The following is a 24,232-nucleotide window of genomic DNA, read 5'->3' as shown; positions in this document are numbered from 1 at the left end:
ATAAAGCCTATGGTACATATACTGTATATCTTTCTCAAATCCCCAAGTTCTGACATGCCAAGCACTGCTGGTTCCAAACAAGGGTTTGAATAAGGGACTGTGGCTCTTCAGTGTATCTATCACAGGGTTATAATGAGGATTAGATTACTTAGTATTTGTACAGTGCATAGACTATTATCTGGCACATAGTAAGCACTGTATACATATATTTGTTAAATAAAATAACAGCTGCCTTGTCTAAAGTAACTCAGGTGGAAGGCTAGGGAGGAAGGTTCTTTGAGACTTTGAGTGCAGGAATGCCTGACACCAGAAGCTGTGCTGTCTGTGCTGTCATGCTGCCTCTGCGACTCCAGGTTTGGGGCTCATGTCCTTTGGTTCACAAACCAGCCTTGTTTATGCAATAGTTTGAAGCAATCTCTGCCTTCTGAGATGATTATTAAGTGAAATCAGCCTTCTGTTTGTGTTCGTTAGCTTCGCCGCCATAACAAAATACCACAGACTGGGTGACTTAAACAACAGAAATTTATTTTCTCACAATTCTGGAGGCCAGAAACCTGAGATCAAATTGTCTGCAGGGTTGGTTTCTTTGAAGGGCTCTCTCTGTGGCTTGCAGGTGGCTGTCTTCTCCCTCTGTGTTCATATGGTCTTCCCTCTGTGTGCATCTGTGTCCTAATCTCTTCTTATAAGGACACCAGTTATACTGTATTACTGCCCACCCTAATGACCTCATTTTAACTTAATTACTTCTTCAAAGGCCCTGTTTCCAAATACAGTCACATTCTGAGGTACTAGGCGTCCATATATGCATGGCGGCGGGGCACAGGAAGGGGACACAGTCCAGCCTATAACACTATTTTTAGAAACTAGATAAATTATCACTCACAGCAGATGAATCCCATATGCTTGCTGGCTTGTTTCTGCCCCAGCATTTTTCAAAGTGTTGTCCAGGACCACCTGCAATCGAATCACTTGGGCTTTTAGTAAAAATAAGTCTGCTCCAAGCCCTTGAGTCAGAATCTGGGGCAGAGGAGCACAGGGCCCAGGGATAAAGCCTACTTGTATTTTACATTCATACAAAGATTTGGCTTAATTAAAGGGACTTGGGAAAAGCCAGGTAGTGAGGTATGCCGCCCCCCCCAACCCCCGCTGCACCCCCACAGCCACTGTAGTCCCCCAGGTAAGGGCAGCCGAAGGAAGAGCACGAAGGAGGGAGTCAGGCAAGTGTGAGTCTGAGCAGGGAGCACCATGCATCTGAGGCCTCCTCTAGTGTGGCTCACTGGAGGGCCACGAGAGAAGCTCCTTTCCACTCAAAGCTTGCCTCCCAGTACCAATGAATGCCCCCACCCTCACCCCTTTCAGTAGATACAGGGGACTTTGCAGTGTAGATGCCAGGAGAGGCCACAGGGGAGGCCACCTATCCAGAAATGCCTGTGTTCCACAGCCTGACAAAGATTCTAGTCATTTCCCTTGGGCGGGATTCCCCTACCCCTAACCCCCAGCTCCTGGCAGAACTCAAAGATCCCCCTGCCTCTCAGAATGGTGGAAGACCTGTGCCTTGAAATAATGTTTAAGAGACAGGAAATAGTGTCATTTTTCCCAAGCCAAATGCTGAACCAGGGAGCAGAGGTTGAGGCAGGTTCACATAGTCACTGACTCTGCTCCAAAGCTTCCTGCGATGTGGGTAAGCCGGTGGGTCATTTGGCTTCCTGGAAGCTGATGTACGGGAAACAGGATTGTCATACACATGGGTACAGCCTTTGAATCACGTCCCAGACAACCAACGTGAGCCCTCTAGAGTGGGTGTCTGCTGCAGGTGTACGTGTGTGTGCACACCCATGTCCCACGCCTGTGTTAGGGTGGCCACCAGCCTCTCATGTCAAAAATTCTAGCAAAACAGCTGGTGAGTGGGACTGTAAATGATAGTGATTTTCCTAGCACCATGACAACAAGACACCATCAAAGCTAATGGCGCTAATCCATCCCTCGTATTTCTCTGCTGGTTCTGGCTTAGATTTTGTTTCTTAAAATACTTGCCTGGCTGGCAAGGCAGTGACTCACCTGCACCAGGACTGAACAGAACAGGCAGGAGGTATTTTCTTCTGAAGAGCTGTCAAGAGCCAATACAGCACCTGAGGTCTTTCATTTCACACGTTGTTCCTGTCAAGGAGGAGACATTCTTACTCTCTTGTCAAAGTTGGAGTTGCCAAAGAAAGCAAAGTGGTTAGAATGTGTCAAACTTTGGCATTTGTATTAAACAGAGTTTGAGGAAACCAGGCAGGTTTGACTGAGAATCTCTTCCTTGTCTTCCATCCAGTGCAAGATAGGCCACATTTTTACAGAGAACTGTCAAAAAAGAAAGTTCACATTAGAGTCACTCAGCTCCACGTGGGTCCTCTGGTGGCATCTCTCTCAGTGTCAAATCCTAATTGTTAGGACTCCATGAATCCTGAGTACTTCAATGATTTAAGAACTCTTCCGAAGCTGGTAATTTGGAAATTGCATTGTTAGTAAATATGAATTAATAAAAAAGCAAAGTCAAGAATTTTACTGGCAATGAAACTATGTTTACTGGTCATCTCTTAATTCCATTTGAATTCCACAGGCCATAAACTGTGGTATATTGCAAAATACCCTGAAGTCAGACGTGGATTCACATCCTAGATTTGCTGCTTATTAATTGTGTGACTTTAGCCGTTACTTAGCCTCTCTGAGTGTCCATTTCCTCAGCTGTCAAAGTGGGAATGATACCATTTCCCAAATTGTATTGCAGTGAATATAACAAGAGATCATGAGTGTGAGAGATGCTAGTACAGAGGCTGGCCCATAAATGCTCATGTCTTTTCCTGTCTGTTGTTTTTTTCTGTAACTTAAATGAGCATCATTTCTAGCTAACTAATGTTTTAATGTTGACACATTTCAGTAGATGGTTTTCTATACTTTTAGAATGTCATAAATGATTCTCCAAGAAGTAGAAATGACTAGGATACAAACCCTGAGACCAGCAGTTGCCAAAGTCACAAGAGGTGATTTGTATGGTCCAGACAGTGATGCAGGAGCAAAGCCTCCGTTTTGACTTTCAGAGATTTGGGAGCAGTGAGGTGCAGTGCCCTTTGGAAAGGTCAGTAGAAATGCTCTGTGAAATGTGAAAAGGTGGGTGCCAGCTCAAGGGGTGCCAGGTGAGGTCCCACTGGAAACCTGCCTCCTCCATCCCTGCCTCCCTGTCCTCAGCAGCACCCTTTCATTTTCTAGTTAGATCGGCTCAGGTCCCAGCTGACTCCTTCTGGATGTCCAGCCACAGACATTTGTCTTTGTCTCCAGCACTTTGAGTCAGAACCACAGGTTTTCGTATTTGCTGTGGTTTTTTTTTTTTTCTGTCATTATTGTATTTGTTTTGGTCTTAGTTTTCTACCAGACTTTAATGGAAAGAGACCAGGTTTGAGTCCAGCTGCACCCCTTATTAGCTGGGTTATTAAGGACAAGTCACTTCACCTCTTTGAAATGCAATCTTCTGATTTATATGTGGGGATCCTACATTATTAAGTTGTTGCAAGAGCTAACGTGACTAAAATTCACATTGAAGTATTTTGTAAACTGTAAAGTGCTGAGAAGAAAAGATAATTTCAAACCCCTCTTAGCATGTATACTTTACTGGAACATATACATGCTCAAAGATATGTGTTAAGTTACTTTTTGATTAAAGATATTTGCTACAAGAATGTTGTCCAATCCCCAAACACACCAGGAGATGTTCTGAGCATTCTGCAATGGTTCCAGTGGGTTCCCTGGATGGTTTGTGAGGGAATTTGCCATTTACTGTGTATTTGCCATGTCCAGGCTCATGCTTGGGAACATCCTGTTTGATTCCCATGAGGTAGGTATTAGCCAAGTTTCCCCCACCAGGTGTGATGGTTAATTTTGTGTCGACCACACTGGGTTAAGGGGCATCCAGATAGATGATAAAACAATATTTCTGGGTTGTCTGTGAGGGTGTTTCTGGAAGACATTAGCATTTGAATCAGTGGACTAAGTATAGATCACCCCCACCAATGCAGGTGGGCAGCATCCAACTGGCCCTCAGCCTCCACAAAAATGTGGAGGAAAGGTGAATTTGCTCTCCCTTCTGGAGCCAGGACGTTATCTTCTTTCGCTTCCAACACCAGAATTCAAGGTTCTTGGGCCTTCCAACTCTGGGACTTACATAAGCTGCATTCTCTACATAAGCTGTCACCTGCGTTCTCAGACCTTGGGCCTCTGACTGGGAGTTACAGCATCGGCTCCCCTGGTTCTGGGGCTTTCAGTATCAGACTGAATTATACCCCCACCTGTCCTGGTTCTCCAGCTTGCAGACTGCATAACATGGAATTTCTCGAGCCAATTGCATGAGCCAATTCCCGTAATAGATCCCCTTCTACATATCTGTATATGTCCTATTGGTTCTGTTTCTCTAGAGAACCCTGTGTGATACACTACGCATGCACAAATAAAGTCACATCAAGACTAATAATCTAAATGTTAGTTTGTTACCACCATTTCTCACTTTGAACCTAGCTCCCTGCAAAGCACCTTCTACCCTGCACTTTTGGGGAGTTCCTGGGGTAGGAGGTCTTACATGTGCTCATCAGCAAATCAATGCCCAGGCACTGTCCCTTACTCTGCTCTGCCATCTCACTCTGGTAAAGTTGCTCTGTGGATTGTCAGGTGGAAAAGTTGCCTTTTTCTCTCTTATGTTCATTTATAGGAGTTTCATCTCAGTGACCCTGTACTCCAGTGTCTTATGAAGCACTAACAAATAGTCCCTTTAGCTTTTAGTGACAACTCTGCCCAGGAATGAGACATGGGTCTGATATGGGGTAGGGTGAAGGATGGGGTTCCGCCCCTGTTACCACAGTGTACTCAAAACTACTCCTTTCTCCAGTATGATGCTTCACCTTTTGGTGAGCCCACTGTGCGCAGCTCCCTGCATTTCCTCAAGAAGGGAGTTTTCCCAGATCCCTGTAGGGTTTCCCTGCTAGTCCACTAGATGTGACGGAATCCTAGCACAGACTCCAGATTGCACATTCCCACTATACAGATGAGGAAACGAAGGCTCAGAGGGTAAAGAAACTTACCCAAGGTCACACACTGAACAGGTGACAGTCAAGAGCCAAACTCAAAGTCCAAATCCCACATTCTTTCTGACCAAAATCCTGTGATCAAAGTGGCAACATGACACGTTGTTGTGACCCTGGTATTCATACAGGAGGGCAAACTGCGCTGGTCACTCTTTACTAGACATGCTTTTCTCCTCCCCAGGGGTTTGTTTAAGTCTGTTTCTGCTTGGTTTCCACTGAGAATTATACTCTGGGCACGAAAAACGGGGATTCCTTGCCATTTCACCTTCCTTCCCATTCCTAGCTGCCCTCCCAGGGAACTGACAGTTTATTTCATTGTTATTTGGCTTATGGTTAAAAGAACTGTGGTGGGGCCAGGCACGGGTGGCTCATACCTATAATCCCAGAACTTTGGGAGGCCAGGGAGGGCAGATCACAAGGTCAGGAGTTCGAGACTAGCCTGGCCAATATGGTGAAACCCCATCTTTACTAAAAATACAAAAATTAGCCAGGTGTGATGGCGCACGCCTGTAGTCCCAACTACTCGGGAGGCTGAGCCAGAAGAATCGCTTGAACCAGGGAGCTGGAAGTTGCAGTGAGTGGAGATCATGCCACTGCATTCCAGCCTGGGTGACAGAGTGAGACTCCATCCCACCCACCCCCCCTCCAAAGAAAAAGGAAAAGAAAAGAACTGTGGTGCTTACACAGATGACAGAACAAGCAAGTCCTGGCTACTGCAAAGATACACCTGAGCCAGTGTTAGTAGATCTGAGAAAAACACATATTCCTTGACTTGATTCCAAAGCCCCTGTAACCTGGTCATCCTATACCAACCCTCTGTTCCAGCCTAAAGGTCTACACATGACCCTAAGTTCTCTTTTCTCCCCTCCCAGCTGTAGCCTGATGCCCATGAAAGATGGGGCCTGTACCCCATGTGCTCACTCCTCCTAGCCCATTCCAGCGATGTGGCATCTATGCTCCATTCTGATTCTCTTGGTCAGGGCCTTGACCTTCTCTCTTGGCCTTGCCAAATCTTTCCTTTAGGGAGCTGGATGCTCTTCTTCCCCAGAAGACATTGCCTGGGGACCTGACTACATCTAAACAAACCTTCTCATCATTTCCAGAACAAAGGACTGTTACCTTCCCAGGCATGCCCTCTCGACTGCTTCAGACTCTGGCTGTACCAGCTCCACTCACCACATAATAAAACTCTTGGGGTATGAAGGAGGATGCACACCACCCTGTCTTGGCTCCAACTGGCCACTTCCTGGAAACTCTGGGATTAGGTGGCTGGCCACTTTCTTTGCAGGGCTCCTAATGTGTCACCAGCCACAGTTGTTGGTGCTTAGGTAACTGAGGGAGCTGTCTTCAGTTCAGACTTCTTAAAGACCCCATTTCATGTTACATAACCCTCAACCTATAATCCCTGCTTTCCCATTTCCTGTTTCCTTTCTCTCCATAGCATTAATCAGCATTTTGATACACAATATATAGCAAAACGTATAGCTTACTTTAGGAGTAAGCTCCTTGAGGTTTTAGTCTGCTTTGCTTGAGCAGTGTCTGGTAGGTGCTCAGTGACTGCCTGCTGAATGCATGACTGGAATGACCACGACCTTGAACATCAGCACCAGAGTACACATACCGAGGTGTTGGGAGGACCAGGAATTCTTGTTCTCTTCTGTCACAGGGCTCAGCTGTCAAAGATTTCCAAACCTCCTCCATCTTAGCCACAGCAATAAAGGGTCTACAAGTTCATTCTCGGCACTGCACTGGGCACCATGGGAAATGCAAACCCTTCAGGCAGCTTAGTATCCCAGCTTGTCTCTGAGCCATCACCCCCGGAAAACGAACTGTTCCTCTTGCAAGCCCTCATTATGCCCTTATACCCGCAGCATAGAGCTCTGTGTTCTCCATCTGTCTCCATTCTTCCCAGACATGAGCCTGTCTCACTCATCTTCACATCCCCAGTGCCCAGCACAGTGCGGAGAAGCTATGAAGGGTGTGATAAATATTTGATGCATAAATGAATACCTGGGATCCCACATGCAGAGAAAGCCAGCCCCTTCTGAATTAATTATGTGACTCAGACACTAGAGGATGATGAGTTTATTTCCTTTATTATGATTAATACTTTTTTTCCCAAAGAGTTTTTCAATTCTGAGATTTAAGTTTTATATATTGTAAATATCAAGATATCCTTTATGAAACAATATTCTTTCCAAAAGACAGCATAAATTTTGGAGTAAAACTGATGACTATGTTTCCTTTTTCTAGACTTTAAATATCTCCTTTTACTTAGGGCTGATTTTAAAATCATGTGGATTTAAAAATTTATGTGGAAGTGTTTTGTGACATTGAAAATAAGAGTCTGTGAAGAAAAGCTGATGCTGCCATTACGATCTCTTTGTATCTGGAATAATTAACTTTTGTTTATTACAAAAACCTTTTTTAAAAATAGGCAATAAATTAATTGTGCAGTTCATCTTGGATTTAGGAGAAGTTGATTCTATGGTTTTTTTTTTCTTTCTTTTTGTAGAGACAGAGTCTTTCTCTGTCACTGGACTGCAGTGGTGCAATCATAGCTCACTGCAGCCCCTAACTCCTGGGCTCAAGCAATCCTCCTGCCTCAGCCTCTCAAGTAGCTGGGATTACAGGTGTGAGCTACCATGCCCAACAAGAAGGTGATTCTTAAAAAAGAGAAAATAATACACAGAGAAAAAGTAAAACAGTTATTGTCTTCACATCAATAAAAAGGGAGACTGAGCATTTCCTAAGTGGAACTATTTATAGCTTATACCAAGCTTTAAACTATACTAGATATTTAGTTGATTATATTTCCCAACTCTAATTATTAAAATTAATTTAATCAGTGTGGGAAGAAAATTTAAGAGGGAAAAATAAATCTGCTTTATGATTTTCAAAGTTAGTTTTCTACACTGATCGATGTATGAATAAGTGCTCAGGTGCCAATTCATTTCCTGCCATGGAGATACTGTGCTTTCTGAGTTTTAGAGAGTTAAACTCCAGAAGGCAATAGTGGTTCTATCTGTTGTGCCTGCCTACCCAACATTCATTACCCCATTTTTCTGCTCACAGCCTTTTGATTTTCTTTAGGGGAGCCACCTCTCACTCCACTTTCAGTTCATGACGCTAGGAATAGTTATGTGACCTGGGCTTGGCCAATCAGGGCTTGGTTCAGAGATGGGTACATTACCAAAGCTAAGCCAATGTGAGCCTGACTGGGATTTTGCAGGCACTATTAAGAAAGAGATTCTTTGCCCTTTGGTATGCTGATGCTTGGAGCTTCTACCTGAGAGTGAAACTAACACAAAGAAAGCTGACAGATGGTAAATTCAACTCATACTGCAACTTGGATGTGCCAATAAAATGTAATTTCTCTAGTTTGTCCATAACCAGTCTGGTCCTTCACTAGTTAGGGTTTAAATCTTGATTCAATCCAATAATTCAATATCCCCATTGAGAACATGCTCGCTTTCTCAGATGGCTTCCTCTTTCTCCTTCCCCTCCTATAAAGATGCCATCTGGATGCATGGCCAATATTCAACAGGTACATGGCATTATGGCTGCCCTCATTGATAAAATACTAAAGTATGCATGGAGCAGTTGGTAAACAGGTTCTGCCCTGAGGTCCCTGCTCCTCATAATCCATCAACTAAAGGGTTAACTCTGGACATAGTAAGACATCTCCATTTATACTCCTCAGCGCCTGAGCCTGTAAGGATTTTTAAATGTTTTGATCGTCATCCAGGTAGGGTGTGCTGGGGTGGAGGTAGTATGGTGGTGTGTGTCTTTTCTGTGTCCTCATGGTGTTGAGAGGAAGGGAACTTTTGTCCTTGTACTGGTCCTTGAGCATAGCTGCCTTGTATGTGATTATTTTGAGACAACATCCACTTTTTGTCTGTCCTGGGTGCACTGCAAGCCTCTGATGTGGGGGTCTGTGGATGGGGAGCTTGTGTCCATCTGAGGTGATCTGAAGCAGTGCTCCCAAAGGTGTTTCCTGACTGGCTTAGCTCCTTCTCTGCTTTTCCTGCTGCTACAGACTCCGACTTCTGTCCATGACTTCCTATCAACCCTGGTCCCAGGGGTCTCCTCGGCAGCCCAAACCACTGAGTCACCTCACTACAATGATCACCTCTGGCAAGCTGGCTACAGGCTTTCTGCTATGTCTGGGTAGAATCTAGCCTTCCCAGGGACCTGACAGAGCTTGAAAAGTCCATAGCAGGGCCTGCTGCTACCCGACCAACACTGGGCTCTTCCTCTCATAATTCTGGAGGGGGCGTGGGGGAACGATCTCCCTCTGCCTTTGTGGTTAAGCTTTACTTTTCCAATACAATCTCTCCACTCAGGCCTCTTGTTTATTCTGCTACTTCTGTCCTCTGATAATCCCCACTTTCTCCTGGTCTAGACCTTTCGAATATAAAACCCTAAGGTTTAGTCTACCAAGCTCAGTTCTTGACCCTCTGAAGAGGAAGGTAATGGAATGTACAGGATATTTTCTCAAGGTAAGGGCTTGAATTACATGGCTATTGCCTTGCTACAAAATTTATTTTTGAATGCCAGAAGCTGAGTGTTATGTTTTCTTTCTCTTTGCATACTTTCTGGAAAGAACTTTCATTTCTTCCTAGGCAGATAAATGCCTAGAGTAGACTAAGTTCATATGCTTTGAAAGGCAAAAGAGAAAACTACATTGATAATTTCAAAACATTATGCCTATCATACATGACAACACCTTTAAAGCACCTGAAATCTAACTGGGCCTAAAGCCAGTCTACCCAGTTTTTAGCAAACCCATGGATCCCGTGGTTAGAGCTGGGTTTCAGTCACTTGCTACCCATAGTCCTGACTGACATGGTAATAACAGTATCCATTTCACATTATTTGAATAGCACTGGGCACAGCTCCACATGCAAATGGGTCTGATTAAATGCATTTGATGGTAAGATTACTGCCAGGGTTAGATCCTGACACAGATAAACCTTGCTTAAAGAGCTCCCCAAGTCCATTTCTAAACCTCCCATGTACGTTTCTTCCTTTCCAGTGGTAGAAAAAAAATAACCAAGGAAGAGGATCCCTTCCTTTGGGTTATCTGGGGCCAGAATCCCCTCTTCTGTCACTCACCCTGTGGTGGTGCTGGGGGTTGTACTGAGACTCCAAGTTATTTCTCCTTGCTGACCCCTCCTGCTTCCCCTTTCCTATAAGCTCGTTCCAGTTTCCCATAGTTGCAAAAACAAAACACAACAAATAAAACAAAACGACAATGAATAAAGGAAACTCTCCCTGCCTCCCCTTTTAGCTGTAACTTCCCCCTCCCTGCCTAACCAACTCTCTTGAAGCAGTGGTTTATACCCACTACCCCTGCCTCTTCTCTTCTTTGACTCCATTTTGCTTCTAACCTAGTGTGATTTTGTTTCTGCCCTCACATCCCCACTAAAACCAATGTCTCACAAGTAATCAATGACTTCCTCATTGTCAAATACAACAGACATATTCCGGTGCTCATTTGCTTCACATCTCGGTGGCATTTCCCACTCCTGACTACGTCTTCAACCTGGAGAGTCTTGATGTGAACTGCTTGATGCCACTTTTTTCTGGTTTTCTTTCCATTTCTCCATCTGTTCCTCAGGATCTCTTATTTGATCCTTAGGATCTGGTATCTGTCAGGTTTGGGTTTCATGCTTTCATAGTCTTTTCATTCTGCCTGCTCTTCTGGGCCATCCCAGCCCTGCCTTGGCTTCAGTGACCATCTTTAAGTTGACTGTTCCCCAGTGGGCACCTCCAGGCCTCTCTCCTGTGCTTGGAACTCATGTTCCTAACTCTTCCTGGAGGTCTCCACCTGGATGTCCTACAGCCACCTCAAACCCATGTTCAAAACATGCCATCTTCCTCTCAGGTCCATTTCTGTTCCTCTACTTGCAATCACAGTAAATGGTATCAACATCCATGAAGCTGCACAAAGAACCCGAGAATCCTCCCGGATTTCTATTTCCTTTCCCCTTTCCCTGCCTACTGAGGCAGAACCTTGTACCTGGCAGTATATCAGATATCCACCCAGAGTAGTGTGTATGAGTGGATGAATGAACTATGGTGCTACAGAACACCATGGCTCCAACTTGAGTCTGAAACTTGATGTCATTTTGCCTTTCACAGTTTTTCACTGCTTCTTCTTTAATATGAGGGAGTCCACCTAGATGATCTTCAGCTCTGAGATCTATGATCCACACTACTCCAATGTGACACCTTAGTCACTTATCCACTTAACTCCATTCCTTTTTCTTGTGCCTATCACACCTAGGTAAAGGGGAGGGGAACCCCTATGATAAAATGGGACTTAAAACTTAAATTATGCCAGATTACAGAACATATTTTCCCTGGTAAGAGGTCCCAATGTCTCTCTGCAGCCACCTACCTTGAGTCACCGTGAGAACTGGAAAGGGAAACAGGAAGAGTGCATGGGAAGGGCGGGAGAAGCTGAAGGAGAGATTAACAGAAGCCATTTCCTCCTTTCCCTGTCATGCCAGATCCTCTGTCTGTGTGAGTCTCCCCAAGCGCTGCACACGGGAAAGCACCTTCCCTCTTGTTCCTCATGACTTCTGTCTGGAAACGAGTACCGTGACTGTCTCCTGAACGCCTACGTGCCTAGCACTTTCTACTTCTCAAAACATTGCACGAATATTTATTTGAGAGCCTTCCATGCGCAGGCACTGTGCTAAACAATGTGCACCTTATCTCATTTAAATCCCACGACCCTAGCCTATTTTTATCTCCGTTTTGCAGACCAGAAAGCTAGGGCATGGAGCGGTTAACTGCTTCACTAAGGCCATCCAACTAGTAGTGTGGTTCTGGAAATCATCATATCAAACCCAGGTCTGTCTGATTCTATGCCCAAATCCAGGGCAGCCGTGGCTACACTGCTTCTGACGTATTCGTGGTTATCTTTCGCTGCCACTCAAGACACTGAGTACACAGTATCTAGGCTTTTGATAAGTGCTCATTGAAGAAGTGCTTAAACCATGTCAATACGAGCTGGATCTGGTCCCAGCTGCCAGAAGCCAGAAATGCAGCTTTGGGCCTTTCCCATCACCTCTTTGGGCCTCAATTTCCTCATCTGTAAACGGGAGGCATTATGCAAATGCCCTCGAAGGAGGCTGTGCCTTTAACATTCTGTGGCTCTGTTCTCATGGCGCAGTGTCCCCAACGTGCTGCCAAGAAACTGCACTGACGGCAGGACCCAGCAGCTCAGCTCTCCTACGCGGCCCCAGCGGCACGGCTGACGCATGCGCCCTCGCCCTCCATCCTCCGCCCTCGCGCCCCTTGCCTGGCGCGGAGGCAGCTCTTTTCTGCGCACGCGCAGGCCCTCGCCGCCGCCTGACCGCTGGATTGCCTCGCTCCAGGAGGGCGCGGCTGCCTCCCCCGACGCTGGGGAAATCAGTGCTCTCGACAGGGATAGGGGTCTGCCTGCCAGGAGCCATTCGGGGCCCACGGGGGAGCCGCCTGGCCCTCGTTAGGCAAGGTCCCTGGGAAAGCTGCCCCCCACAGGAGAGCGTGTTCCCGCCCGCGCGCTGGACGTGCCGGGGAGCACAGAGAGGCTCTTCCCGCTCGCAGCACAGATGGAAACGCTCTCGCTCTGCGGCCTGGGCTGGGAGGCAGGGGAGGGCCCCAGAGCCCTGCCAGCCCGCAAAGCTGGGAGGATTTTCCTCTCAAAAACGATACCGCTGATTAAACTGAAAACTTCTAAGGTCACGGAGGACGTTTATCCGGGCTGGGGCGGGGAATGGGAGGGCTGGAGGCGTCACCTGATGTTATAAGCTACTAAAAGGCAGCGGACTCTGGCCGGGAGGCAGGCGCTTCATTGCAGCTTAGGGATGAATACATAAACCTGGGCGGCTATTTTTACACTGGCTGAAACAGAGAGCGTGTGTGTGGCAGGGGAGAGGACGCAAGCAGCCCTCCCCCATTCATCCCCTGATCTTCCCCTTCCATCTGGAGAGTTACTCCTCAGAACCGAAGCATTTTTATTTTTATTTTTTGAAATCAGGGAAGGGAAAAGGAATGCAGATCAAAACGTTTCCTAAATGGTAAAAATAAATGAGATAGCAGCATTCTGAATTCTCACGCCTTGGTACTCTCAGTCCTTCCTCCCCTTGTGTGCAGTCTTTTGAAGTCCAAGGTTGTCGGTCTGAGTTTGTCTTTTCCTGCTCAGGAAACATGGAATGGCTTCTGCAAGGTTTGGGCCTGCAGAGAGCTGGAGGAGACAGAGAAAAGAGGAGACTTTTTGCCAAAAATGCATTCTCGATCCCGGCGTGTGCCTGTGCACTGTTGAGTGTGACTTTGTTCTGTTAGGACTTAAAAGAAAGCTCTGCTTCTTTAAATAGGAATTTTCAGACCATGATAAGCACTGAGAAAGCAGAAGATTGTCCAGGAAGGGTGATTGCTTTGAATTTTCACCTGATTTAGACCCACTGAAGCCATTGCCTGTGCTTTCTTGTCAGAATAAATTTGGAGCTGAACTCACCATACCCAAGAGGGAGGCGTGCTCGGGGTAGGGCTGTGAGCTGTATGGGGAATTCTTGCTGACATCAAATCGTTTCAGATCACTCAATTTACTTTGATTTCGTTCAACGTCATTTCATTTTCTTTCCAAGTCCTCTAAGAAGTCTGGAAAAGGAGACACTGAAAATAATTGCAAAACTTAAGGCATGAAATGAAATATCTCCTAAAATTAAAGTAAGGTTGTAGAGGTTCACCATCTTAAGGATTTGTATAGATGACCTTTTAGCAATTTTTCATTTGAGAATTATGGAACTACAAACACACACACACACACACACCAAAACCCCGCAAAAAGGAAACTTCATTAGGAAGGGAAGGTTACCTGCAAAGCTCTTCATTCAATGTGTCATTTCTAAGATTCACTAGATTGGAATGAGGATATAGAGTGGGAATGTGTGGGGTGGGCAAGAAGCAGGGCATAGGGGGAGTTTTAAATTTGTTTCATCCATGACTAATGTCTCCAACAATGGGGAATAAAACAAATTTTGCCTTTTGTAAAGGGAAATTGAAATTCAAAGTTGTGGAGGAACATTCCTACCCTGGGAGTCTTGACAGCCTCCTAGGGTCCAGCACAGCTGGGCTCTTAGAAATTCACCTACTTCTTCCAAAGGCAGGTCAAAAGAAGGTTGCTTTATTGAGATAGTACAAATCAAGGACTCCTTCATAGCAGAAAACCCCCAAACACCTCTACTATTTGTGTGCCAGTAACTTCCAGCCAAGTTTGAGGAAAGCCCCAGATTATCATTATTATTGTTTGTTTTCATATATGTTTGTTTATTCTGTTTTGCTTTTTAAAACGTAGCAGAACTTGTACGTCCAAATGTATGCACACCCTGAGAAAACTTTCAAACCACTGTTTAAAAAGTGGGAGCAGGACCATTACCTTATGTCCCAGAGGACAATTCTAGGCTAGCCCCCTTTTCTATCCCTAACAAGCTTAAAGACAGTATATCTCACCTGTGGGCAGGCCACTCCCTGTCCCCAGTTTCCTTCACTGGCCTGTCACTCTGTATCCATAGCAACTTAACTCAGGTCTGAAAATCAGGAAACCTGGATCGTGAAGAGGTTAGGTCTCCTGAGAGATTAAAATCAATAATCTGTCTTTTTAGATATTCTGTCAAGAGATTACATTTATTTTTAAGAAGCAACATCTAAGCTATCCGAGTTCAAAAATCACTTTCTTTTTTGTAATATAGCACAGGAGAAAGAGTTCCGGAAGTGGCAACTTAATTTGTATCTAATTTCAGCAAAATAATTGCACACAGCTTCCAGCTTGAATGAGCAGTGAGGTATAGCTCCAAGTAGTTACTTATTTTAGTAGCACTCTCTCAGGATGAATGCTAGCTATTTTCAGTTGCATGTGGGAAAACCAAAGGCGCTGCCAAGCTGTGGCAAGTTGGCATCATGTGTGAGCTGTCAACCAGGATACTTACTTTCACTCAGATTCATTTCTAACTTGCAGTTGGCGTGTGACCTTTTTCTTTATTCAATTTGGGGTCCTGAGCACTTCCTTTCTCTGCCGCCCTACCTTCCCACCGATCTCTACCCCCACAGGCAGCTTTTGGCTGAATCCATTTAATAATAACAGTGTGAGTGCCAAGTGGGTTGTATAAAATCCTTAGGGAGAGCTGTGAAATGAAGCACATTGTTCTTCAGGGCTCCTAGGGACCAGAATGTACCCATCAACAAAAACTAATATGCAATAAAATTATATGTCTTTCTCTATAATTTATGCAGAGTGGGATAATGCTGCAATGAGGCCATAAATAGCTCTTGGTATATGCCGTAGGCAGCCTCTAAAACAGCCCCCAGTAATCATCACTTCCTGGTATTCTCTGTCTCATGTAACCTCTTCTTCAGCGTGGGCTGGATGGACCTGGTGCTTGGCTTTAAACAAATTGAATACAGCAAAAGTGATGGGATGTCACTTCCAAGATTGGGTTACAAAAAGTCTCTCTCTAAGCCAACTGCCATGTTGGGACCTGCCCCGTGGAGAGGCCTATGTGGCAAGGAACTGATGTCTCCAGCCAGCAGCCACAGGAGTGAACCTGGAAGTTCACCCTCCTTTGGTAGAACTTTGAGTTGCCTTTGGTCCTGGCTGACACCTTGATTACAGCCTGTGAGACCCTGAGCCAGAGGACTGCTAAGTTACAACTGTGTTCCTGACCCATGAAAACTATACGATAACACATGTTGACTGTTTTAAGCGTCTCAGTTTTGGGGTCATTTGCTATGCAGCAATAGAAAACTAACACAGTATATTCCCTAAAGCAGACAGACCCTCCTGCTCCAGTAACCCCACCAGAATTCTGTCTCCAGACTTACCTCCTGCTACAGCCTCTCTATCACCCCTGGGGACACTTTTGGGGCACATCTTACTCTCAGGTGTCTTTTTAGGAGCTATTTCTTTTGCTGAAACAACCAGCCACCTCTTCTTCACAAGATAAATTCCTGCTCATCCCTTGACACCTGGATCAGATGTGACCTCTGGAGAACCTTCCTAACTCAGCCAGGCAGAGCTCCTATATCTGGCCTTGGGGTCTCCACAGCGCTTTGCTTCCGCCTGTGCTGCAGCATATCCCATGGCGCTGTCCTTATTGGTAGGCCTGCTAGGCTGCAGCTCCAGGAGCACAGGAAATGTTTCTTCATCTTCCAATCCCTGGTGCCTAGCACAGCACCATGGTAAAACATCATTCTTGGAACGGATTACTGACTGTCTTGCAGGAGCAGGGATCCCAGGCAGAAGAGAACATCTGGTAACTAGTTCCACTTTCACCTGATGCAGGGATCTTATTACAGCATCCTCAAAATGTTTGGAAGAAGACCACTTTGGGTAATTGGACTATACACACACACACACACACACACACACACACACATATATATGCACATATATATATATTCCAATATTATATTATATATTATATTATATATTATATTAAGCATCCAGTCAGCAGATTGAATGCTCTAGCAGCCAGCAGTGGTTTGAAGCTCTCTTGATCTGATTCCAGCCCCTTGATCCATCACTTAAGGTCAGGGGGGCTTGAAAGTTGACAGTCCTATAATTTGAGTTATCATCATTTCAATCCATGACCTTGAAGTTGATATGTCCCAGGTATCATGGACATGCTTTACTTCATTTTTTGAGCAAGCTAGAAAGAAACCATGAAGGCATCCCAAGGGACAAGTTAAAGAGACATCCTTAGGGACAAAGCTGAAGGAAAGGAAGGTTGTGCTTTTCTCTCAGATGGTGATCTAGCCCATGAAGGGAAGGGCTCATTGCAGGGCAAGGCTGTTGGAAGATCTTTCAGGAGTGGAATATGTTGTAAGCCTATCTACCCCATCATCATTTTCCCCTCCATTGTTCCTCTCTTGGACCCCAATTCACCTGCAGCAAATAGCTTCCTAACTGGTCTAATGACATTTAGTTATGACGTTTTCCAAGTTGTTCTCCACAGGGAGATCAAACTCTTTCTGAAATGCACATTGGATCACATCACCTGGCCACTTCAACACTTCAGTGGCTCCCCGTGCATGGCCTTCCCCAGCCTGATTGAGAATCTCACCTCCTTGCTGTCTGCACTCAGGTCACACTTGCCATCTTTCATGGCCTTGAATACACATGTGCAGCCCCACTCTAGGGGTTGCCCAGGACCCACTGGGCTTAGTTAATCTTATTGTTCCTTCAGATTTTATTTCACTCATCATTTCCTCAGAGATTTCCCTGACGTCCCTTATTAACCAAATCCCCTCATTATATACCCAGGACCCCACACATTGCAATGATGTTAACTTGTGTGTGTGTTTGATCAAGGTCCTCTCCTTTTGAAGGCAGGGACCATGCCTGCCTTTGCTGACCCTATATTCTTGGTACCTAGCATAGCCTGGTAAAGAGCAGGGATTCAATCAGTATTTGTTGAATAAGTGAATGAATGAATGAATGAATGAATTATGGGTGCTCTTTGAGGGTACCTGGAGGAAAAACAGAAATGCGGGAAGAATGAGAATTTAATGGAACCCAAAACTGGGGCATAGAAAAGTAATTTGAAGTACACCACCATCCTAAAATGACTTTTGGACTTTCTTTAGACTGAGTGTGAACAACATTTACAGTTAGATGTAACTCCATTCCCCCAAGCTATAGCAGCCTCAGGGAAAACCTAAGATTTCAAGCTGATTTCCAGAGCCTTTGGCTGTGCCTCCTACCCCTGCCACCCCATCCAGCCACACTAGCCCTCCCTCCCTTAGATGCTGATGCTGGCTTTTCTCTGGGGAGGGGAGGAATGGTCGAGTTGGGGGTGGATGACACCTCAGGCCCCCTTACTGAGAGTCTCCATGTGTTACTGCCATCCCTAGCACAGCCCCCACAGCCTTTATCCCAGCATGATCTACTTGCTGCCCATGGCTCCACTCTGCTGCATAGGGCACCTGACGGCCACCATTGCTGTGACTGCCCTTGCTGGGGCCTCTACTCTTGGCGGTGGGGGATTTTTTTCTACAAGTGTGGAAAGCTTTTCAGCAAGCCACTGGTGGAGCAATTGATTCCCCTCTTCTTTCCCTTAGATGATTCCCACCCTTCCTTCATTGTCATCTCTCTTAGCAGTTTTGTAGCAGGCAAATAATTTTCCCTTATTTGTTCAAAAATCTTAAATCTAGGAGTATAGGACCTGCTAATTGTTATTATTTCCTAATTTCTGTTTCAGGGCTCAGGGAGGACTGACAGGACTAGAGTTGACAACCATTCATCCAACAAACATTTACTGCACGAGGAAGAGAGGTGATCAAGGCACTGCCCTTGTCCCCAGGAAGCTCGCCAGTGCATGGGACTGTGCAGGTGTCTTCACCTCTGCATTAGGCATTCGATGTCAGGCCATGGCTGAGCATCCATCCTCTCTATGCTAATTTTTTCCAAAAGTCAAGAGTTTGGAAGAACACTAATGTGTTTTTCTTCCAGCCTTTCCTATACAAATGACAACATCATTACCCTCAGCTTTTAAAGTGCAAGTCTGTACAGAGATCCCAGAGTCAAGGAGGGCGCCTGAGTCATTTGAAATAATTACCTTTTTTTTTTCCTGCCTGAGTCTTGCATATCTGTGAATCAGCAATGTGGAAACTGGGCTTCAAAAAAATTAAGGGAGGCTTAAAGTGAGCAAAGCAGAGAAGAGCATTGGCAAGAGCTGAGCGCTGCCACAGCAGGAACATCATGCCGATCGTCATCTAAGGGAGCTCATGGTGCTGTCTGCCTCCTCTTAGCAACATCCACACAGGCTGGTACAGTCAGATCATTGTGACTTGGACAGGGATGAAAATACTCAGCTGACACCAATAGCTCCCAGCACAGCCAGGGTATTCTAGAGGTGTGTGGTGTCAGGACAGCCTGTGCGGCCTCATTTATTTACCTGAGTCATCTGAACAAAGCGGTGACTGGCTTTGCCTGGCTCTGGCAAGGACTCGCAACAAAGCCAAAGCCTCTTCCTCCACGGCCTTTGCTCCTGCAGCACAGCACTGGCATCTTTTTAGCATCATAGACACTGTCACGTGGCAATCAATGACAGATGAACTGTCCCTTCCCTGGGCCACAAGCTCTTCAAGGCGGGAGCCTCAGCCCAGTTTCTTCCATGTCTCCAGCGCCCAGCACAGGGCCTGGCTTCTAGCTGGTTTCTGATGAATAAACGAATGGCTATAGAGATGTACTCTTCAAAACACAAGGGGCTTCTATAGTGGCAACATGTTCAGTAGCACAGTGCTGTATTGGTTCTTTACAGCTTGCAGGACCCAAAGAAGGAATGATTTTTGTTTCCCGGGAAAGGTGTACCTCGTGGGGGCACTGCTCAAGGGAAGGTGCCCACAAGTTGGGGATCAAGGGAGGCACAGGTTGATCAAAGCCCCTGGAATTGAAATGGAGGTGTTCATCCTGCGGAGGCTCCGAACATCTGAGGCAGAGCCTCGATTCTCCAGGAAATTGACTTTGCCGGAGAACAAGGCTGGGGAAGGCAGGCTGTCCTAGGGGAGGAGTCGTATTTCAGCCCCACTGAGACCCCAAAGGCGCACTCCCATGCTTTACCCCAGCTGTCCACCAGGGGGCAGGCAGAGGCAAGAGAAGAGGAAAGCGGGCGGCTGGTCAGGCCCAGCACATCCAGCCTGGCATCCCACACGCTGGGCTGCCTGACTCAGACAAAGCCAGGCCGCTCCTCCTGCCTGTTGTGGCCTCTGTGATTTTATATGGTTTGGCCTGTGACATCAGACACCACGCGACCATGGTAACCAAAGTATACAGCCTGGAGTGAATGTTAATAAACAGGAAAGAAATGATACCTGGTGTCTTGCTTTACTCACCATTTGCGGTCTTGTTATCCACGCCTAATGTCTCCTTTATTACCACGAGCAATCGAGATGTACCTGAATTCAGCAAGTTTTAAAAATGAAAAGCTAAACTGGGGAAATGTGAGTTGGTTTCCTTGTTTAACTAACTTTGAAAATAGTGCCATGAGTGACCACTGCCTCTTGATATCCTGCTCAGCATTCCTCTTACGTACAAACATGTAATTTAAAGGGAAAATTATTTCCTTGACAATCCCCACATGCCTTCAAAAGTCATTTTCCCCAAAGAAACGTCAGGTGATGGGATCCCTTAATTGGTTAAAGTTTTTCCTAATATCCTCAAGGATTGAAGAAAAACAGCACACCTGTCTTCCTATACAAATTATCATCCTATACAAATTAATGGGCCCAGAGGCCCAGATCTAAAACAAACTAGGACTGAGTATAAAGGAATAAATGTTTTACCAGGCCAGATCACAGAAGTGAAAATCTTTGTGTAGAGATGAGAGCTGCTTCATACAACATCAGAGAGTTTGAAGGTTATAGTTCTCCTGCCTACCAAGAATATCTGATTAGAAGCTTTTTAAACTTTGCCTTAGTGAAGTTAAAGACTCTTTAATAAATTGCATCTTTAATTAGAATAAGAACAAACCAATCATATTACATGAACCAATAGAGAATGATAAAACAGTCCTAAAAGAAATGGTTTTCTAATGGAATCAGAATTCATATGCAAACCTTTTCATGCTGCAGACTTTTTTGAAAAGTCCCGATTTCATTCCAATAGTATTCACAGCTGAGAAATATCTTTTAAAGATATAGCATGATATCAAGTTACTTTAATAGTTTGCAAAATGCTCTCAAGAATTACCTAAAAATATGCAGTTTCTATGATACCATAGATGAGTTCATCTAAAATTGTTTGATCTTCAATTAAAAACATAAACACACTTGGATATATTTGGACACAGATGTTGCCAGAGTTTCCAGATTTCATTGTTCAAAGGTATTTCATAAATATGAAAAAATGTGTTCAGAAGGCGTCCATCTGATTGGGTATTCAGGCTTACAAAGAAAGTAATTACAGGGGCAGAGACTGGGAGTCAGCCCTCATTCATCTCAATTCTCTCTCACATATCAGCATAGCTTGACTTTGATTTTTTAGATGCAAGTAAAGGACATTGATGTAATTCAAATAAATTAGTTTTTTTCAAATATCCTGAGGAGTCTGGAATCAGACATGACAGACTTGATGGACAAAAGCCTGAAGGAGAACCAACTCTGAAGTCGTCATAATGGTTCTAAAAACAGTGTCTTTCCTTCTTATTGACCTAAATTTTCATCTTCTTTCTAGGGAACATTTGCTTGCCAGGTCCTTGGAAAAGGTCCACCTTTGGCTTCTCCTCTCCCTTCCTTCTCTTCTGCGTTTGCGTCTTCCATTGAGATTCCCACCGGGGAATGTCGCTGCCGCCATGGCATCCTCTGGTCAGCTGAAGTGACCTTCAACCTTCCTTGCCTTTCTCTGAGGGCAGGGGCCTTGCTTCTCCCATTAACAAAGCACTTTCGGGCAACTTTTAGGTTTCTTCACGGTTGATTAAACTGTGTTTATTTAGGACCCTTCTCCTCTTTCTGTTTCCGGCTGCTGACCTTTCTGCTGGTTCATTGTTGGAGGAGAACACTCACAGGGCAGTCTATCTGACTGCTTGTTAGCAGCTTTGGTAAAGATTTTGTTCTGGAAAACGTTCAGCCTGTTGAAATACTAGTGCATCTTCAAAGCATATGACGTTTTGCTTGGATAGTGTTCAGAGTTGCTGTTACTGGGTAAGGCCAGAAGCACATGAAAGAGAGAAACCTGAGGTAGCCTGTGAGCTGTAACTGCTAGCATCTCCCTTGAACCTGGTGCATGTTGATCTTCTTGCATGAAGCTCCATATGGCTTCACTTGGTATGTTGTGGTTCTTTTTTTTTTTTTTTTTTTTTTTTTTTGAGCTGGAGTCTTGCTCTGTCGCCCAGGCTGGAGTGCAGTGGCACAATCATGGTTCACTGCAGCCTTGAACTCCTGGGCTCCTGAGCAACTGGGACTATGGGCGCGTGCTGCCATACCTACAAAAAAAATAATTTTTATTTTTATTTGTTCGGAAAAAGGGTTTCCTTATGTTGTCCAGGCTGGTCTTGAACTCTTAGCCTCAAGCAATCTTCCAGCCTCGGCCTCCCAAAGTGCTACGATTACAGGCATGAGACACCACTCTTGGAGATTTTTAATAAGAGTAGATGGACATGGTTTTGTTGCTTGGAAATGGGAAGAAGAGAGAAAATGAGGCACAGAAAGTTTTGTTGAGTGGCCAAAAGATAAGCCAGGACAAACACCTTAAGCCAGAACTCCATTTTTGGAGATTCTTGTCTGTAGGACAGCGAACACCCCTGCTGCCACCCTGCCCTAGATTCTCAGGCAGGCTCTGCTCCCCAGTAGCCCCCACACTCCAAGGCCCAGCCAAATGCCAGTTCCACCACATGCAGGCATCAGTTCTTTCTCTAAGCACTGTGACATGTACTTGCTATACCTCTCAGAATGGAATTTTTGTGTTTTGCTTATTTGTGTATGAATCTTATCACACTGGCTTGATTGCAAGTGCTTGGAGTGTGAAATGTACTTCTGCATGCCCAGAAGCATGTGGTACATATTTTAGTGAAAGCAAATGGATAAATGGAGGTGCAGAGTGATGCCGTCCCTAGTTCTTCTCTTTAATGCCACCTACTCACTTGGATAACTTGCCCTCCGCATTCCTCACACTATGCTCAGCTCCCAGCTTCTGCAATTGGTTTGGCCTTACTCTGTAGTTTGGTTATTTGTCCATCTCACCTTTATATCTCTGCCTAGTCATTGTTACCCATCTTAGATGATAAACTCTTAGGGGACTGAGGTTCCACTTAACTCCCTTTGCCTACCACTTGACAAAAACACAGGGCATGACTAAACACTTAATGGACTTCAGAAGATGATACTTACAATCAGAGAAGTGAATCACTAAATCTGATCGTCCATCCTCTCAGAATGAAGGTTGAATGGTTCAGGACTTTGTGAAGTTCTTAGTCACCATTGCCCCCTTCCTCATGATGAATCTTTTCCTATGCATTTTGTTTAGCTGCAGGATAAACTAAGAATAATATTTTCTTATTCTTAGAAAATAAGATTAGAAGACTGCTTCTAAAGGCCAGGTTTCTCAACAGCAGCATGTTGACATCTTGGGTTGGATAATTCTGTCGTGGGGGCTGTCGTGAGCGTTGCTGGACATTTTGCAGCATTTCTGGTCTCTACCCATAGATGCCAGTAGCATGCCCCACCATTTTTAGACATTGCCAGAAGTCGCTAGGGTGTGCTGGGGGAGCAAAGCCCCTGGTTGAGAGCTACTGCTTTAAGGGATAAAGGTGGAAGAGGGAAGCCATGGAGGAAAGGAAATGATAGTCATAACTAGGTGTTCTTCTTCTCTTTGGAGGTTTTTGTTTTGTTTTTTTAAAAATGAAAGCAGCATGGTGTTCTGCTCTGACAGTTGGGAGAGGAGAGTCTTGCAAATGCATTTAAATTATACAGCATTTCACCACTTTGCCCTTTTTCTCCCCTTAGGGGCTATTTTTTTTCACCATTACCACTAGGTTGGACCTGCTTTCTGTGGCTTGATCCCATCTTGTTTTAGGAATAGCTTTCTGGAAGCTCTGACGGGCACATGATGACTTGCTGGGAGAGGCACCAGCAGGCTGCTTTGCTGTCCTAGGGCCCGGACACTGCCCTCATGAGGATACTGTGTTTAGGACTCTGCTTTTCCACTTTGCTGATCTGGGAACTAGATTTTTTTTTCTTTTCCCTGTGAATTAGTAAGCCACTGGGAGCAATAATTCACCAAAACTGGACTCACCAGACACTGGGTTGCACACCAGACTATTACAGTATTGCTTTAAAATGCGTATCCCCAGAGCCCTCACCTGGAGTTGGAACGTGGGCAAGCAGCATGAAATGTAGCCCAGAGTGCATGTAGGGCCCCAGGCCAGTGGGCCCCAGCCCTGGCCCAGATGTCTGGCCCTTTCTGTCTCAGCTGCCAAGGGGATGACCTTTGTGGCCAGGAGAGGGTGGGACAGAGAAAAAGCTGGGATTTAAGAGAAGAGTGAGAGCTTAAAGATGTGCACGATCTTTAGAAATAATTTGCGGTGTCTGCTTCAGTGAATGTTGGTGTCCCAAGGCAGAGTGCCAGTCGTTCC

At 45.3% G+C, this 24,232-nt stretch overlaps 3 long non-coding RNA genes across 3 annotated transcripts in view, besides 2 other annotated features; 1 reads left to right on the top strand and 2 right to left on the bottom strand.

Moving 5' to 3' along the window:
- LINC00880 (long intergenic non-protein coding RNA 880) overlaps positions 1-19,973 on the top strand; it is a 41,336-nt gene extending 21,363 nt beyond the window's left edge. Inside the window, exon 4 of the long non-coding RNA NR_034007.1 lies at positions 18,365-19,973. This is a non-coding gene — a long non-coding RNA (long intergenic non-protein coding RNA 880). The remainder of the gene's footprint in view (positions 1-18,364) is intronic.
- Positions 505-11,759, bottom strand: LINC00881 (long intergenic non-protein coding RNA 881). The gene is made up of 3 exons (NR_034008.1): positions 11,518-11,759; positions 2,059-2,157; positions 505-954 (listed from the first exon to the last, which is right to left on the bottom strand). It is a non-coding gene; the product is annotated as a long intergenic non-protein coding RNA 881 (long non-coding RNA).
- Positions 11,355-11,454: an enhancer, noted in NCBI's record as "active region_20736". NCBI's record gives its function as "activates an Ori minimal core promoter by ATAC-STARR-seq in GM12878 lymphoblastoid cells {active_cell/tissue: GM12878}" and the evidence as "EXISTENCE:reporter gene assay evidence [ECO:0000049][PMID:35858748]".
- Positions 12,415-12,464: a silencer, noted in NCBI's record as "silent region_14843". NCBI's record gives its function as "represses an Ori minimal core promoter by ATAC-STARR-seq in GM12878 lymphoblastoid cells {active_cell/tissue: GM12878}" and the evidence as "EXISTENCE:reporter gene assay evidence [ECO:0000049][PMID:35858748]".
- LINC02029 (long intergenic non-protein coding RNA 2029) lies at positions 13,093-19,799 on the bottom strand. The gene is made up of 3 exons (NR_135546.1): positions 18,722-19,799; positions 13,624-13,781; positions 13,093-13,353 (listed from the first exon to the last, which is right to left on the bottom strand). It is a non-coding gene; the product is annotated as a long intergenic non-protein coding RNA 2029 (long non-coding RNA).
- Positions 19,974-24,232: the final 4,259 nt, after the last annotated feature.

The sequence above is a fragment of the Homo sapiens genome, chromosome 3 (assembly GCF_000001405.40).
Source record: "Homo sapiens chromosome 3, GRCh38.p14 Primary Assembly".
Classification (NCBI taxonomy): Eukaryota; Metazoa; Chordata; class Mammalia; order Primates; family Hominidae; genus Homo; species Homo sapiens.
Note: the sequence above shows the minus strand (reverse complement) of the source record. Positions and strands in the feature narration are given on the sequence as shown.